A 12,154-nucleotide genomic window follows, 5' to 3' on the forward strand; every position below is an offset into this window, starting at 1 on the left:
TGTAGGTGCAGGATGCCTGACTGCCCTCTAGGAACTAGATTATTGATATTAACAGCTGGGAGAGTACTCTCTCTCTCTCCATAGTACTGTCACATTCTGATTTCAGTTGCACGTACGGTGACCAGTCTCCTGGTTTGCCCAGGAATGAGGGAATTCCCAGGGCACAAGCATTTCAGTGCTAACATCAGACAGTCCTGTGCAAATCTGGACATTTACTCTCCCTGGTCATAAGGAATAGGAGATATTTTAGCTGGGCTTTTACATTAAATACTCAGTAATGGATAGTGGTTACTAAGTTGCATTTTTTCAGGTATAGGCAAAATTTAAAGTTTCTCCTAGGCTCCTTGGAGAGAGTTTTTGTTGCTGCTTGTTTGCCTTATTTTATTTGTTTGCCCTATTTTATTTATTTGTTTGCGGGATGCTGCATAACACTGTGTTTTAGCAGAAAGGTCCTCTTTCACTTTAGGAAGCTCAAACTGTTTTCAACCAGTCAATTCCTTATAGAGTGATTTACTAATAATCGTGTTAGTGTCATCATGAAATATCCATTCAGTGTAATTTTTAAAAAATGTTAAATAGCTGGCTCCAGTAAGGACAGTCCACTAAAAGAGATGAACATATACCCAATTTTCCTGCTTACAGCTTCTTATGCCCAGAAACTTCTATTTTTTTTCCTGCTGAGCTTTCTAGCTTATCTTTAGAATAGAGTCTTTTAGGCCTCTTAGCCAAAGCTGTTACGTATATTAACTGAATCTGCTTTCAAACTATGCAATTACCTACTTGTGCGCCTAACAATTATCTTCTCTCAGCACTTCCGGTCTCATCAGAAAATAAGAATATACCTGCCAGAGAATATTAACTGTTTTCCTGTGTTCTCTTGTCCATCTGACTATTCCAAGCAGGGAAGCCTTTGGATAGCTTTGAATAAAAACTAGCTGTACTTCTGGTGCAAGATGAAACGGCTTTCCTGAGCTTATGTGCATAAATGAGCCTATTTGTGAGACCTCAACTGATATCTTATACCTATCAAAATGTAAGCAGCCCTGAACTCTAAAGGAACAGATATAACAGTAGGCAAGTTTTGCAAACCTCCTTTATTGAAACAGAGCCTGTCCTACCTCACTCCACTAAAAAATAAATTTACTTTCTGAAATGTACTCCAGTAACTCTGCTTCAAGATCTTTAATTATTCTGTATACATAACTTGTTCCCTCAATATGTTTTTAATATTTGATTTTTGAATTTTAACTAAGATTAAAACTGAATTGAATGTTTCTGCCCCCACTCTTAGGAATGAAAAATTCTATTTGAACTGGTCGGGATTCCTGTTCACACCAATGTTAATAGTGCTCTGATTTCATGGAATTTTGCATTTTACACAGTGCTTGCACAGAGTGGCTTCCACTTGATCGTCATAAAATTATATTCAGGCTCAGCTTTTGCTCTGAACTGGGTGTGAGAAATGTGCATAAATAAGATTACTTTCGTTATGGAATGGCCGTATCGTAACCAACTGTTTGCATGGTATATTTGCTATAATTGTACATTGTAAAATGTGAATATTGGCTCTATCCTTGAGTAAATTTCAAACGTTAAGGGTGCCTTTACAGAAATCAGTAATAAAAAGAACAGGCCTCTTAATTTCCCCTTACAATTCCCTGGTAAACGCTTTATGACACTTGGTGAATTAAATAACATTTCTCTTCTAGGCACCATTCATTCATTTCACAAATATTTATGAAAGCCCTGCTCCAAGCCAGGCATTTCACAGCCCCTGGAGAGAATCATATTCTGAACCCTTGGGAGCCCCTCAGGGTAACAGTAGATGTGCAAGACAGACTTGACTCAAATGGTCACCAAAAACGTCAATGTTTCTCTCTTTACAGGTCATTTTGAGTATGAAAATTGTATATAAAAAATTGTTAGTGCTTCCAAACTGCATAATGGCTCTTTCCCGTATTCACACCAGATTTTGAGGGAGTTCCTCTGCCCAACACATTTATTATGCAATTTCCCTTATTGACTTAGTGACCTTCATTGATCTACTCAGCAACCAGTTTTCTTGTTCATTAATATTATATTAGTATGAAGTTTTTTTCGGTTGACCAGTCTGCAGTTTAACTGTAGCTAGTCAGCCTCTCTTCCGAGCATCTACTTTGAGTGTTTCATGAACAGACATTGTCTCTGGAGGGTAGAAATTGAATTGGAAAAGGAAACAAATTTATGGCCTTCATAAAGTCTCAAGGTGCTTTTCTACTTAAGTGGTTAACAGGCATGAAGTGTTTGCTGTATCTGATTGTTCATGTTAATTTATGTCCTCATGGTTGTTAGGTGGACAGTTCTGGAGGAGGGGAGAGTGAAAACAGGAGCCAGAGCAGCTGAGTGCAAGCATGGGCGCTCAGGTGGGGCACGTACCTGGTATTGCAGTGACAGCTCAAAGCCCTGGCCCTGTCCAAGTCCCCACCTCCCTTCTCCACGCCCCCAACATGCCAATCGAATCTTTCATCTTATTTCCCTAAACTGAAATAAAATGATGAGTTGTGCTAGTTTAAAACCACTTGACACTAGCATGGGGTATATTTAAGGACTGATCGGAGGTAGAGCTCCTGACATAACATCTTTGGTAAAAATTTCAATTTCCCCAGGGTAGGGGAAAAATACCATCAACTGTCCATGATGACCTGGTATATAGGCTATGGTTAAATGATGAGTAAGAACATAATGATTCTCATGAACTTTTACAAAAGATCTCCACAGTTTAGTTCCTTAAGCCCAAATTTGACATTTCTTCTGTATCATGTGAGTACCTCTGTCCCTTTTTAATTACCCCTCATGATGTTACGGAACTAAAACTAAATATTCAGAATTGTTCATAAAACTTATCAACTTGTGATCAGGTTTTTGATAATTTTCATTTTGTTTATTTTCTGGATAAGATGTTTTAAAATGAATATGCTTACTTTTTAATTTAAAAAAATAATAAAAATTGCAGAAGTACCTGTATAAAACTCCCACATTTATCCGTGCCATAGCAAAATAGGTTTACTTTTTTTATTTAATATGTCCTATCTGGCTAAGTACCTGATATTAAAGTAAGGAGACCTTACATTCATATGTTTCTTTACACAGATTTTCTCACATAGAGCTCAGTGAACTTAATAATGTAGATGAGATAGATCATAACATCCCCAAACAAGGAAATTGTGTATTATTTTCTGGTTTGCTAAGAATTATGTGATTAGCAAATCGCATAATTAAGGCAGTAATTTTTTCAACCTAGCACAGTGTTCGTTTTTATATACTATAGTTTATTTGTCCTCTATGTGCATCAAGTTCTGTTAACATAGAACATATAAAGAAACAAGACCCAGTTGCTGTCATCAAGCAGTTTATAATGCAGCTGGAGTAAAAAGACATATGCTGACAGAGAGAGTTAATTGGCAATGCAATTGATGGCACAGATAAAAGTGCAGTGCCTGATAACAGTGTGTGGTACATCAAAGGCATTCAGGAAATGATGGATGGATGGAGGGATGGATGATGAATGGATGAATGGATGGATGGATGGACAGAAGGGCAGATGGATTGACAAATTAATTAGTTACCAGAGTAGAAAGGAGAAAAGTTCACTGGTCACAGATAGTCAAATTTCAGTAAATGTCTTTTGACTATTTCATTGGTCAGAGAGTACTTCAAGAAGGAAAAGATAGACTAGCCAGGCCTTCAGGAACTTATAAGAGTAGGGCTTAACTCTGCAGAGAGAAAGAAAGAGGGGTTGTCAGGCCAAGTTCTCAGCCTGGACAAAGGCAGTGGGGCAGAAAGAGCAGCCTCTGACTGGGGTCTCTAAGAGGGGCCTTCCTAAAGCAAAGGTTTGGTGATGAGGTTGTTTTGCAAGTAGAATGGAACTACATCTGAGCACATCGCGACAATCAAGCTGATGTATTTAAGTAATCCATAAGTATGGGCAGCTACATAAATGTTTGCATAAAGTCATTCATGTGATGATAATAAAAAATGTTTTAGACAAAAACTGGAAATATGACATAGTGTTGAATGTAAAGTTATAAGAGACAGTTCAATAAGAAGTGGAGATTTTAAGTGCCAACTGGAATTTTAAAGTATTTTTAGAAAGATCTGCACATGTATATATTACTGTATCAGTCAAGTATTCCTATATCTAATTGAAGTTTCTGAGACAGTTATGTCAAATTCAGCTTTAGATCAATAGGTTTGCTAACTGAGAACCAAAAGATTCAAAGACCTGAAGCTGGCATAAAAGTCTAGAGGCCTCCAAATATTTCCTGGATAAAGTTTAATAAATTTTGTATATGCTAGAAGAAAGGTAATAATTTATGTCTTCTAAGGTAGTCAACCTAATTACTAGATATGTCAGAACGTTAGCATCTCTTGTATGTAAGTTCTTCTTGCACTATGAGAAGTCATATACATTGTTACTTCTCTTTAAACCTATTAATTATTTTATCTTATGAAAGCAGTGATGTCATCACTTAAATGCAAGTGATTAAACAGTGGGGCCCTGGAGAAAAACTACGTGCATTAAAATCTAGTTCGACCAGTGACTTGCTAGTCAATCTTGGCCAAGTTTTTCTGTTCTTCAGCTTTCTCATTAATGAATGATGATATAATAATGGCACTAACATCTGAAGATTGTTGGGAGAACTAAATGTAAAACTGTAGACTAGTGCCTGGCATGGAGTAACAATTCATAAATGATAGGCATATTACTGGTAGTGATAGATAGTCAATGAAAACTGTACATATGTCTTATTTTCTTGACATGACTATGTATTTGTTTTGCTGGATTTATTTCTCAAATCATTGCTGGAAAGATAGCTAGGATCCCATAGGGTGGTGTCTGGGGTCTCTACTGAGTGACGTTATAATTTGACCTATGTAGCTTAGTGAAGCTGACCAGTCTCTCGCTTTCCACAGTGAGCCATCTTTATGGATTTGGACTGATGGACGCAGAAGCCATGGTGATGGAGGCAGAGAAGTGGACCACCGTTCCCCGGCAGCACGTGTGTGTGGAGAGCACAGACCGACAAATCAAGTAATGCTTGCTGCCGGCAAACAGCATGACAATGCCCCAAAATAGAGCAAGCCAGTCAATTGCTCAAGACAGCCTCTTGTTGCACACAGAAGCTAAAAGCTTCTGTAGTTTCTCTCTAATGTGACTATGAAATGGTAATAGAACGGCTAGGATTCTGAGCGGTTAAATTCGTACTAGTATAGCCCAAGAATCCTTCAAAGAAAAGCATCTTTAAAAAAGGGATTGGGGGATATGCTTACCCCTGGGCTCTTGAAAGTTTTCTACTGTCGATATTTCTATTTGATGGTGCAAGTATTCTCCAGAAGTCAGTGTACTTTTAAAAACTGTAACAACTCTATACTGCGTAGTTATCCAAAGAGTGGTACAAAATGTACGGTAAAAGAGATTGCAGTTTACTCACAGCTTTCAGGGCCTATTCCCCAGTTTTAGTGGCACAAACTTGGAAGCTGTGCTGACAGGGTTTGCCAACAGGATTCTATCTTAGTAGGCTTATTAGTGTTTTGCTCTTGGCTTTCTGTTCAGAGACTTTTCTCTCTGAAAAATATTTTTGAACTTTGGTTGATGATGAAACTAGAGACATTGTCATTCTTGAGAAAATTTGTTTGGAAGCAGAAGTAAATCAACTAAAGTTGTTTGAGTTTATTTTCATTCTACTCTTGTGGCAAAGAATGAGAGAGAAAAAACAAAAGGGTGGAAAGTTAACCAGTGTTTATTGAGCACTTACTATGGGCCATGCCAAGGGCTAGACACTTCATGTATGTTTTCCTCTTGAAGCTGTGTAACAACTTGGGTATTATTCTCATTTGAAAAATGTGGAAATGGAATCAAAGGAATTATCTATTTATTCATTCACAAACTCATTCACTAAGTAACTATTTTTCTCGCACTTACTGAATATCAAGCACTGAGCAAAACATTAGGAATAAAAAGGAGAATAAGTAATACTTCCTACCCTTGTGGAGGTTACAGTCTAATGGAGGTATCACACCAAAAAAAATAATAAGTATATAATTACAAATTCTAATAAACAAATGTTGGAAATTTAAAAAATGTGAAAAATAAGAGATAGGGGACATATTTTCACCTGTGGCTCGATGAAGGTCTCAGGGAGGGGAAATTTAAGCTTTGACCTTGAAGGAAGAAGCGTTAGCCGTAGGGACATCAGCAACAACAACAAAAGTACTTCAGGCAGAGTAGTGTGTGCAAAGTCCCCAAGGTGGGAAACTTGAATTATCCCAGAGGTTGAACCTGATGCCATTGTGGCTGCAGCCTAGTGTTCAAGGGGAACTGTGGCACAGGAGGAAGCTAGAGAGGAAGATGAGAACCTATAGACAAGAGGGAAGAATGTGCTGGTGGGTTACAGAGCAAGGGATGTGAACCCCCTTTATGCTAATCCCCAAGCCTCCACTGTACCACAGTAAGTGGTTCTCACAGTGTATTCCATAGATCAGCTACGTCACTATCACCTGGGAACTTGTTAGAAATGCAAATTCTTGAGATCCATCCCAGACCTACTCAATCATACACTCTGGGGCCAGCAATCTGTGTTTTAACAAGCTGACATCAATGCATACTCAGTTTGAGATCTATTACCTTCATGAAGATGAAAGAACCTTGTTCCTTTTTCACCTCTCCCTTGCATCTTTCCCACTAACTGGTAATCCTTTCAGTGACCCAGTTATTTTGGTGATAGCACTGTTGTTTAGTATCCAGCTATCAGCTGCTTATCTTACATTGTGTATTTATTCCATGCCTCCAGGTTCACTCACCTGAGCTCTGTGATGTCATTTGCTCAAACTCTCCATCTCTCTCTGTTACAGGACAATCCGCCCTAACAGTGCAGTGCGCTCCATCTACAAAGCTTCAGGCTGCTCGGATAACCCCAACCGCCATGTCAACTACCTGGAGCACGTCGTTGTGCGCATCACCATCACCCACCCCAGGAGAGGAGACCTGGCCATCTACCTGACCTCGCCCTCTGGAACTAGGTCTCAGCTTTTGGCCAACAGGTACAGCAGTGGTCTCTGCCCACCAGTGTAGTAGTCACAGCGACACTCGGCTATTCCTTAGGTAGAAGGGAACAGCTGCTGCTTTCACCTAACCTGGGAACCAGCAGAGGGGGTGCTTAGATGTCAGGATCTCACTGCTCATAAGTAGAGAGTGTGAAGCTGCCTATAATCTGTAGATGTGGAAAAGTGGGGCATTTAATAGTTGGCTAAGAAAAGGATGCAGTAGAAAAATTGAAGGCCACTTGTTCTTGATCCTACAAAAGAATTGCAGAGCACTAACTCGTAAGGCCTCTGATATCCCCTCCCCCACCATTAAGTATCTGTTGTCATTCGTTACAGATTAACCGAATTCTCTTGCCCAAGCACTTACTTTCAAAACTTAAAGGAAATTCTAATTTTTTAAAGCAGGTGTTAACAGATTTTTTCTGCACAGAGCCAGACAATAAATGTGTTGAGCTGTGTAAGCCAGGTCTTTATCCCAACTACTCAACTCTGCCATTCGAGTACAGAAGCCACCTAGACAATATAAATGAATACGGGTGCCTGTGTGCCAAATCAAACTTCACTTACTGAGAGGCGCAGGCTAGATTTGGCCTGAGGATTATGGTTTGCTCACCCCTGTTTTTAAGGTTGCCTCTTCAGTCCTTTTTTTTTTTTTTTTTTTTTTTGAGAGACGGAGTCTCACTCTGTCTCCAGGCTGGAGTGCGGTGGTGTGATCTCGGCTCACTGCAGTCATCGCCTCCCAGGTTCAAGCGATTCCCCTACCTCAGCCTCCTGAGTAGCTGTGAGTACAGCCGTGCCCCACCATGCCTGGCTAGTTTTTTGTATTTCAGTAGAGACGGGGTTTCACCACGTTGACCAGGATGGTCTCGATCTCCTGACCTCGTGATCCATCCGCCTCGGCCTCCCAAAGTGCTGGGATTACAGGCATGAGCCACCGCGCCCAGCTGACTCTTCAGTCTTTATTGCCCTAGAGGGTATTCAGTTTCGCTTGTTAGCCTCTCCTCCCTGCTTCCTCCAAAACACTTCCCCAGCATATAAGTAACTGTATTTTGTACAGGCCAAGATCCTGCTGAGACAATGTGGCCAGAATGTTCTATCACTCATTTTCTTTTGCTCCCTTGGCTTTTTGAGTGGTTGGGAGCATGGGAGAAAGTTGTTAGCAAGTGGGACCGGAGAGGGGAGATGTCAGCTTTTCTTGTGATCCTCGTTCTCATGGTGGTTCTAAATGACAAACCACAGCCCAAAGCCTAAAGCTTCTTTGATTTTTTTTTCTCTCAGAAGAACATTTAATGGGAGCAAAAACTTTCTTATCAGTGGCATATATAGTTCAAATGAAAGTCAACCTTTTATATAGACATAGCCACTTGTCCACACACCAGGTGACCATGGCAGAGGTGATCTTTGTTAGAACACTAACAACAGGCCAGAGGTGTTGAGAGGCAAGAGGCCCATGAAAGTCTGCACGGCCAACAGTGAGACCGAACTTGCCAGTTGCTTTTAAAAATCCCTAACTTCATCTACTATAGGACAGTGAGAAAAGGAGAGAACAATAACTTTTCTGGCTTATAGCAACTAGGAGTACAGAATCTGATATCTTTTTTTTTTTTCTTTTTTGAGATGGAGTCTTGCTCTGTTGCCCAGGCTGGAGTGCAGTGTTGGCACAATCTCGGCTCACTGCATCCTCCACCTCCTGGGTTCAAGCAATTCTCCTGCCTGAGCCTCTCCAGTAGTTGGGATTACAGGCACACGCCACCACAGCCAGCTAATTTTTGTATTTTTAGTAGAGACGGGGTTTCACCATGTTGGCCAGGCTGGTCTTGAACTCCCAACCTCAAGTGATCCTCTTGCCTTGGCCTCCCAAAGTGCTGGGATTACAGGCATGAGCCACTGCGTGCAGCCCGGAATCTGAAATCTTCATGTGCATTTTATTTCTGTGCTTAGACTTGCTGTGTTCTTTCAAATCTGACGTCTTCCATTAGTGTATGGGAAACCTGGGTTTAGTACTTTAAATGTGATGTGCAGCTTTGCCACAATAAGTGTATGCAGGTGCAAGGAACATAAGGATTCCTCAGCATAGGATCGCTGGGCACTTCCTCATGTCCTCCTCCCACTGCAGACAAAGAGCCCTCAGCAGGCCGCCTGCAGGGTAATTGCAGGTACCTGCCTGAGGTTTCTTTCCAGCAAGCAAAACTTCAGATACACAATTACGTGATTAATGAAAGTCTCTCCAGCTGTGGTTACCGAAGCTAGGGAAGGCCTTTATTTCTTGCTTTTTTTTTTTTTCTTTACCATTATTCATCTGGGTTTAACTTGAAAATGTATCCTGGTGAAATACTGTGAAGTGCAAAGGTTTGCTTCACATGTGTGGATCGTGTTCCCCCGAGCCCCCTTCCTTGTAGAGAAACAGTCCCTCCGCTGTTGCTGTTTGCTTGAAAAACTCAACCTCTTCAGCCTGTCTGGGCTCTTCCTGCATATTCCGCTATTTATTTTTGGCTTCCCCTGAAATGACGTCAGTGAGGAAACTTGTGAGCAGAGGAGCTATGGATTCCATCACAGGCATTTGGTGGATTGCAGTGTTGCTGGCTTCAGGCTCGCATGCATTCTTCAACAGCCAACATCTGCTTTGCTCTTTGCAAAGTGCTGAACACAAGAGTGCTGCGTGACTTGTGTCGGAGAAAAGAAACAGGCATTTCCGACGTGCGGTGACCGGCACTCCTATAGCGCACCTCAGTCTCCCTCATCAAGACCACCTGGGAATAAAGTTTGCTCCCAGAATGTGTCTTCTTGGTCTGGAGCAGTTTCTTCAAGTGTGGCTCTCGTTTATCCTCCATCTCAGTCCTGAAAATAAGTAGCCACTGAAGGGAGGTAGAGAGCCTGGAGATTGGAGGGGGCTGGAGACCCCAAGAGATGTAAAGGATATTGTGAATTCATTTGTCTACAAGCTCTGCAGAATTATTGCTCTGAGCAGCTGACCCTTTCCATGTGAAACAGCTGCACCCAGTCCCAAAACCATGAATGGCCACCTTCCAAGGCCTGGCTCCCCCGTTCCTGCTGTGCTTGACACTGGTAGCGTCCCTCCTACCGAGGCAGCTAAAGAAAGACAGTTTCTTTTGGCACTCTATCCATCTGGAGTATTCTGAAGCTTTCATTTCATTAGAGGAAACTTCTCCTCAAAACCTCTCAGTCTCTGACCTAGTGGCAAGGAGGCCTCATGCCCTCTCACCTTGGCCCCATTTCAAAGCACATTCCCAGAATGGAGAGCTGGGAACAAGGGCACAGAAAGGGGTGGAGAGGAGGTGAAGCAAAGGCCTGCTTTGGTCCTGGTGTCCTTCATGTTGGTATGCAAGGCAGTCCGTCTCTGTGGTGGGGAAAAAAAATGAAGAGGTCAGGTTTTAGAAGGAATTTGCCAGAGATGATTGGTAAGAGCAATAAATATTTCCCCTGCCAGACCCTTGTCTTTTTTTCAGAGAAGTCAAGATTTCTCAGGAGGACCATGTAAAGCAAAGAACAAAGATTTTTTTCTTAAATAAGAATTCTGAAAAGTTTAAAACAATGTTTCCCTAGCAGAGGTGGTTTGAGATGCAGATGTTGGCTTCTTGTGGCAGACTTTTCCTCATTTTATCTGTCCTACCCCTCTGGGGGTAGGGGTGATTCTTTTCATCCCGAATTAGAATTTCCAACACTGCACACTTAACTAGCCTGGCAGCCAACGTGGAAAACTCCCCAAGGCCTTTGAAGCAGCTCCTCTGCTCCATGGCTTACTCACAGCAGGCTGCGTGTTGGCTCCTGGGAGAAGGAACCAGAATCTGGAGGCTCACTTGGCATCACCTCTCCTTTGCAATGAAAAAACCAGAGACCAGACAATGAGGATGAAGCAGAGGGGGAGAGTCCAGAGGACAGTGCTCTCCTTTTCAGTATTGACAAAATATACGTCCTATCTGGGGACCTGAAACTATGGTCACTATTTATGGTTGGCTTTCCAGAAGTCCTCATTTACTTAGACATTTCAGTGAGGAATTTCTTCAGAATTGTTTATCTCCTCACCACAGGAATTCCTTGAAAGTCTGTTTTCTGAGAAGTGCTGAACACGTTGATGTAGTCTGTGTGGGCCGTCTGGAGCCCCTCAGTGGCTCCCTGTCCTGGCTGACGGGCACTTGCCTGAACTCCTGTGAAGAACAGCTGTTGGAGGAGGAACAGTTTCCCCAAGCATCTGCAGGTGCTAAGCGCTGGAAGGCACTCAGCAGCATTCAGAACTCCAGTCCAGCTTGAGCTCTGTGCCCCATTAGCCCGGCGTGCATGCTCCCCTGGCAAGCCCCGTGGATCATTCAGTGGGTGTGTGCCGTGGGTCAATGGAGAAGTCCTAGAATGGACTTTCCTTTGCTCTTCCCCTGCCCTCCCACCCTCTTGGTTCTCCCCTTGGCCTGTATACCCTGCCTAACAAAAAGGCAAATTGAATATTCACAGCAAGTGATTTACTTCCATAAAGAGCATGGAGGTCGAGTGTGTAGGGAGAAGCCAGGTGGGCTTGGGTCCTTTGAAAATGTTTTTAGATGAGAGCAACTTTAGATATAAGCCTATATACTATGACACATTCAAAGTCTGCCTGTGTCAAAATTTTTCAAACAAAAGCTTATCCCAGCAGATTCTTTCTTCAGCTGCATCTGTTAGAATTATAAAAAGCTGTCTTTTTTTTTTTTTTTTTTTTCCTGAATCTCCCTTATTGAGTTTTAGATTTAGCTTAGATGTACTGGCCCTCTGTTCCAAATTTTGGCCTCGATTGAAAGGTGAAACTTTGCCTCCCTTTCTAAATTTAATTACAGATGAATATCTCTGCTTCTAATTATGGCCTTAAATGGAGAGAAGGTATACTTTCTAATCTGCAAAACCTATGGAGTCCTATAATTAAATATATTTTAAATGTAGTGTTTATGCTTCAGTCATTTCTGTCACTTCCCTACCCAAATGTTCAATGACAGACTATTGACATTTGTAAGGCATCATGGTATATAAATGCATCTGTGGGTTGCAGTAAAAATTACACTTTTGCAGTGAATGTTTTACATTCCAGTAA

The 12,154-nt window shown here is 41.6% G+C and overlaps 1 protein-coding gene across 9 annotated transcripts in view; it reads left to right on the forward strand.

The window, feature by feature from the left end:
- PCSK5 (proprotein convertase subtilisin/kexin type 5) overlaps positions 1-12,154 on the forward strand; it is a 473,167-nt gene that overhangs the window by 262,283 nt on the left and 198,730 nt on the right. For all 9 annotated transcript variants that reach the window (NR_120409.2, XM_047423454.1, NM_001372043.1 and 6 more), the window contains 2 exons: positions 4,954-5,071; positions 6,892-7,080. Coding sequence is in view for 8 of the 9 variants with exons in the window: in XM_047423454.1 (XP_047279410.1) it covers positions 4,954-5,071; positions 6,892-7,080 (307 nt within the window). In the remaining variant the exon portion in view is untranslated. The remainder of the gene's footprint in view (positions 1-4,953; positions 5,072-6,891; positions 7,081-12,154) is intronic.

This window comes from Homo sapiens, chromosome 9, assembly GCF_000001405.40.
Source record: "Homo sapiens chromosome 9, GRCh38.p14 Primary Assembly".
In the NCBI taxonomy this organism is placed as follows: domain Eukaryota; kingdom Metazoa; phylum Chordata; class Mammalia; order Primates; family Hominidae; genus Homo; species Homo sapiens.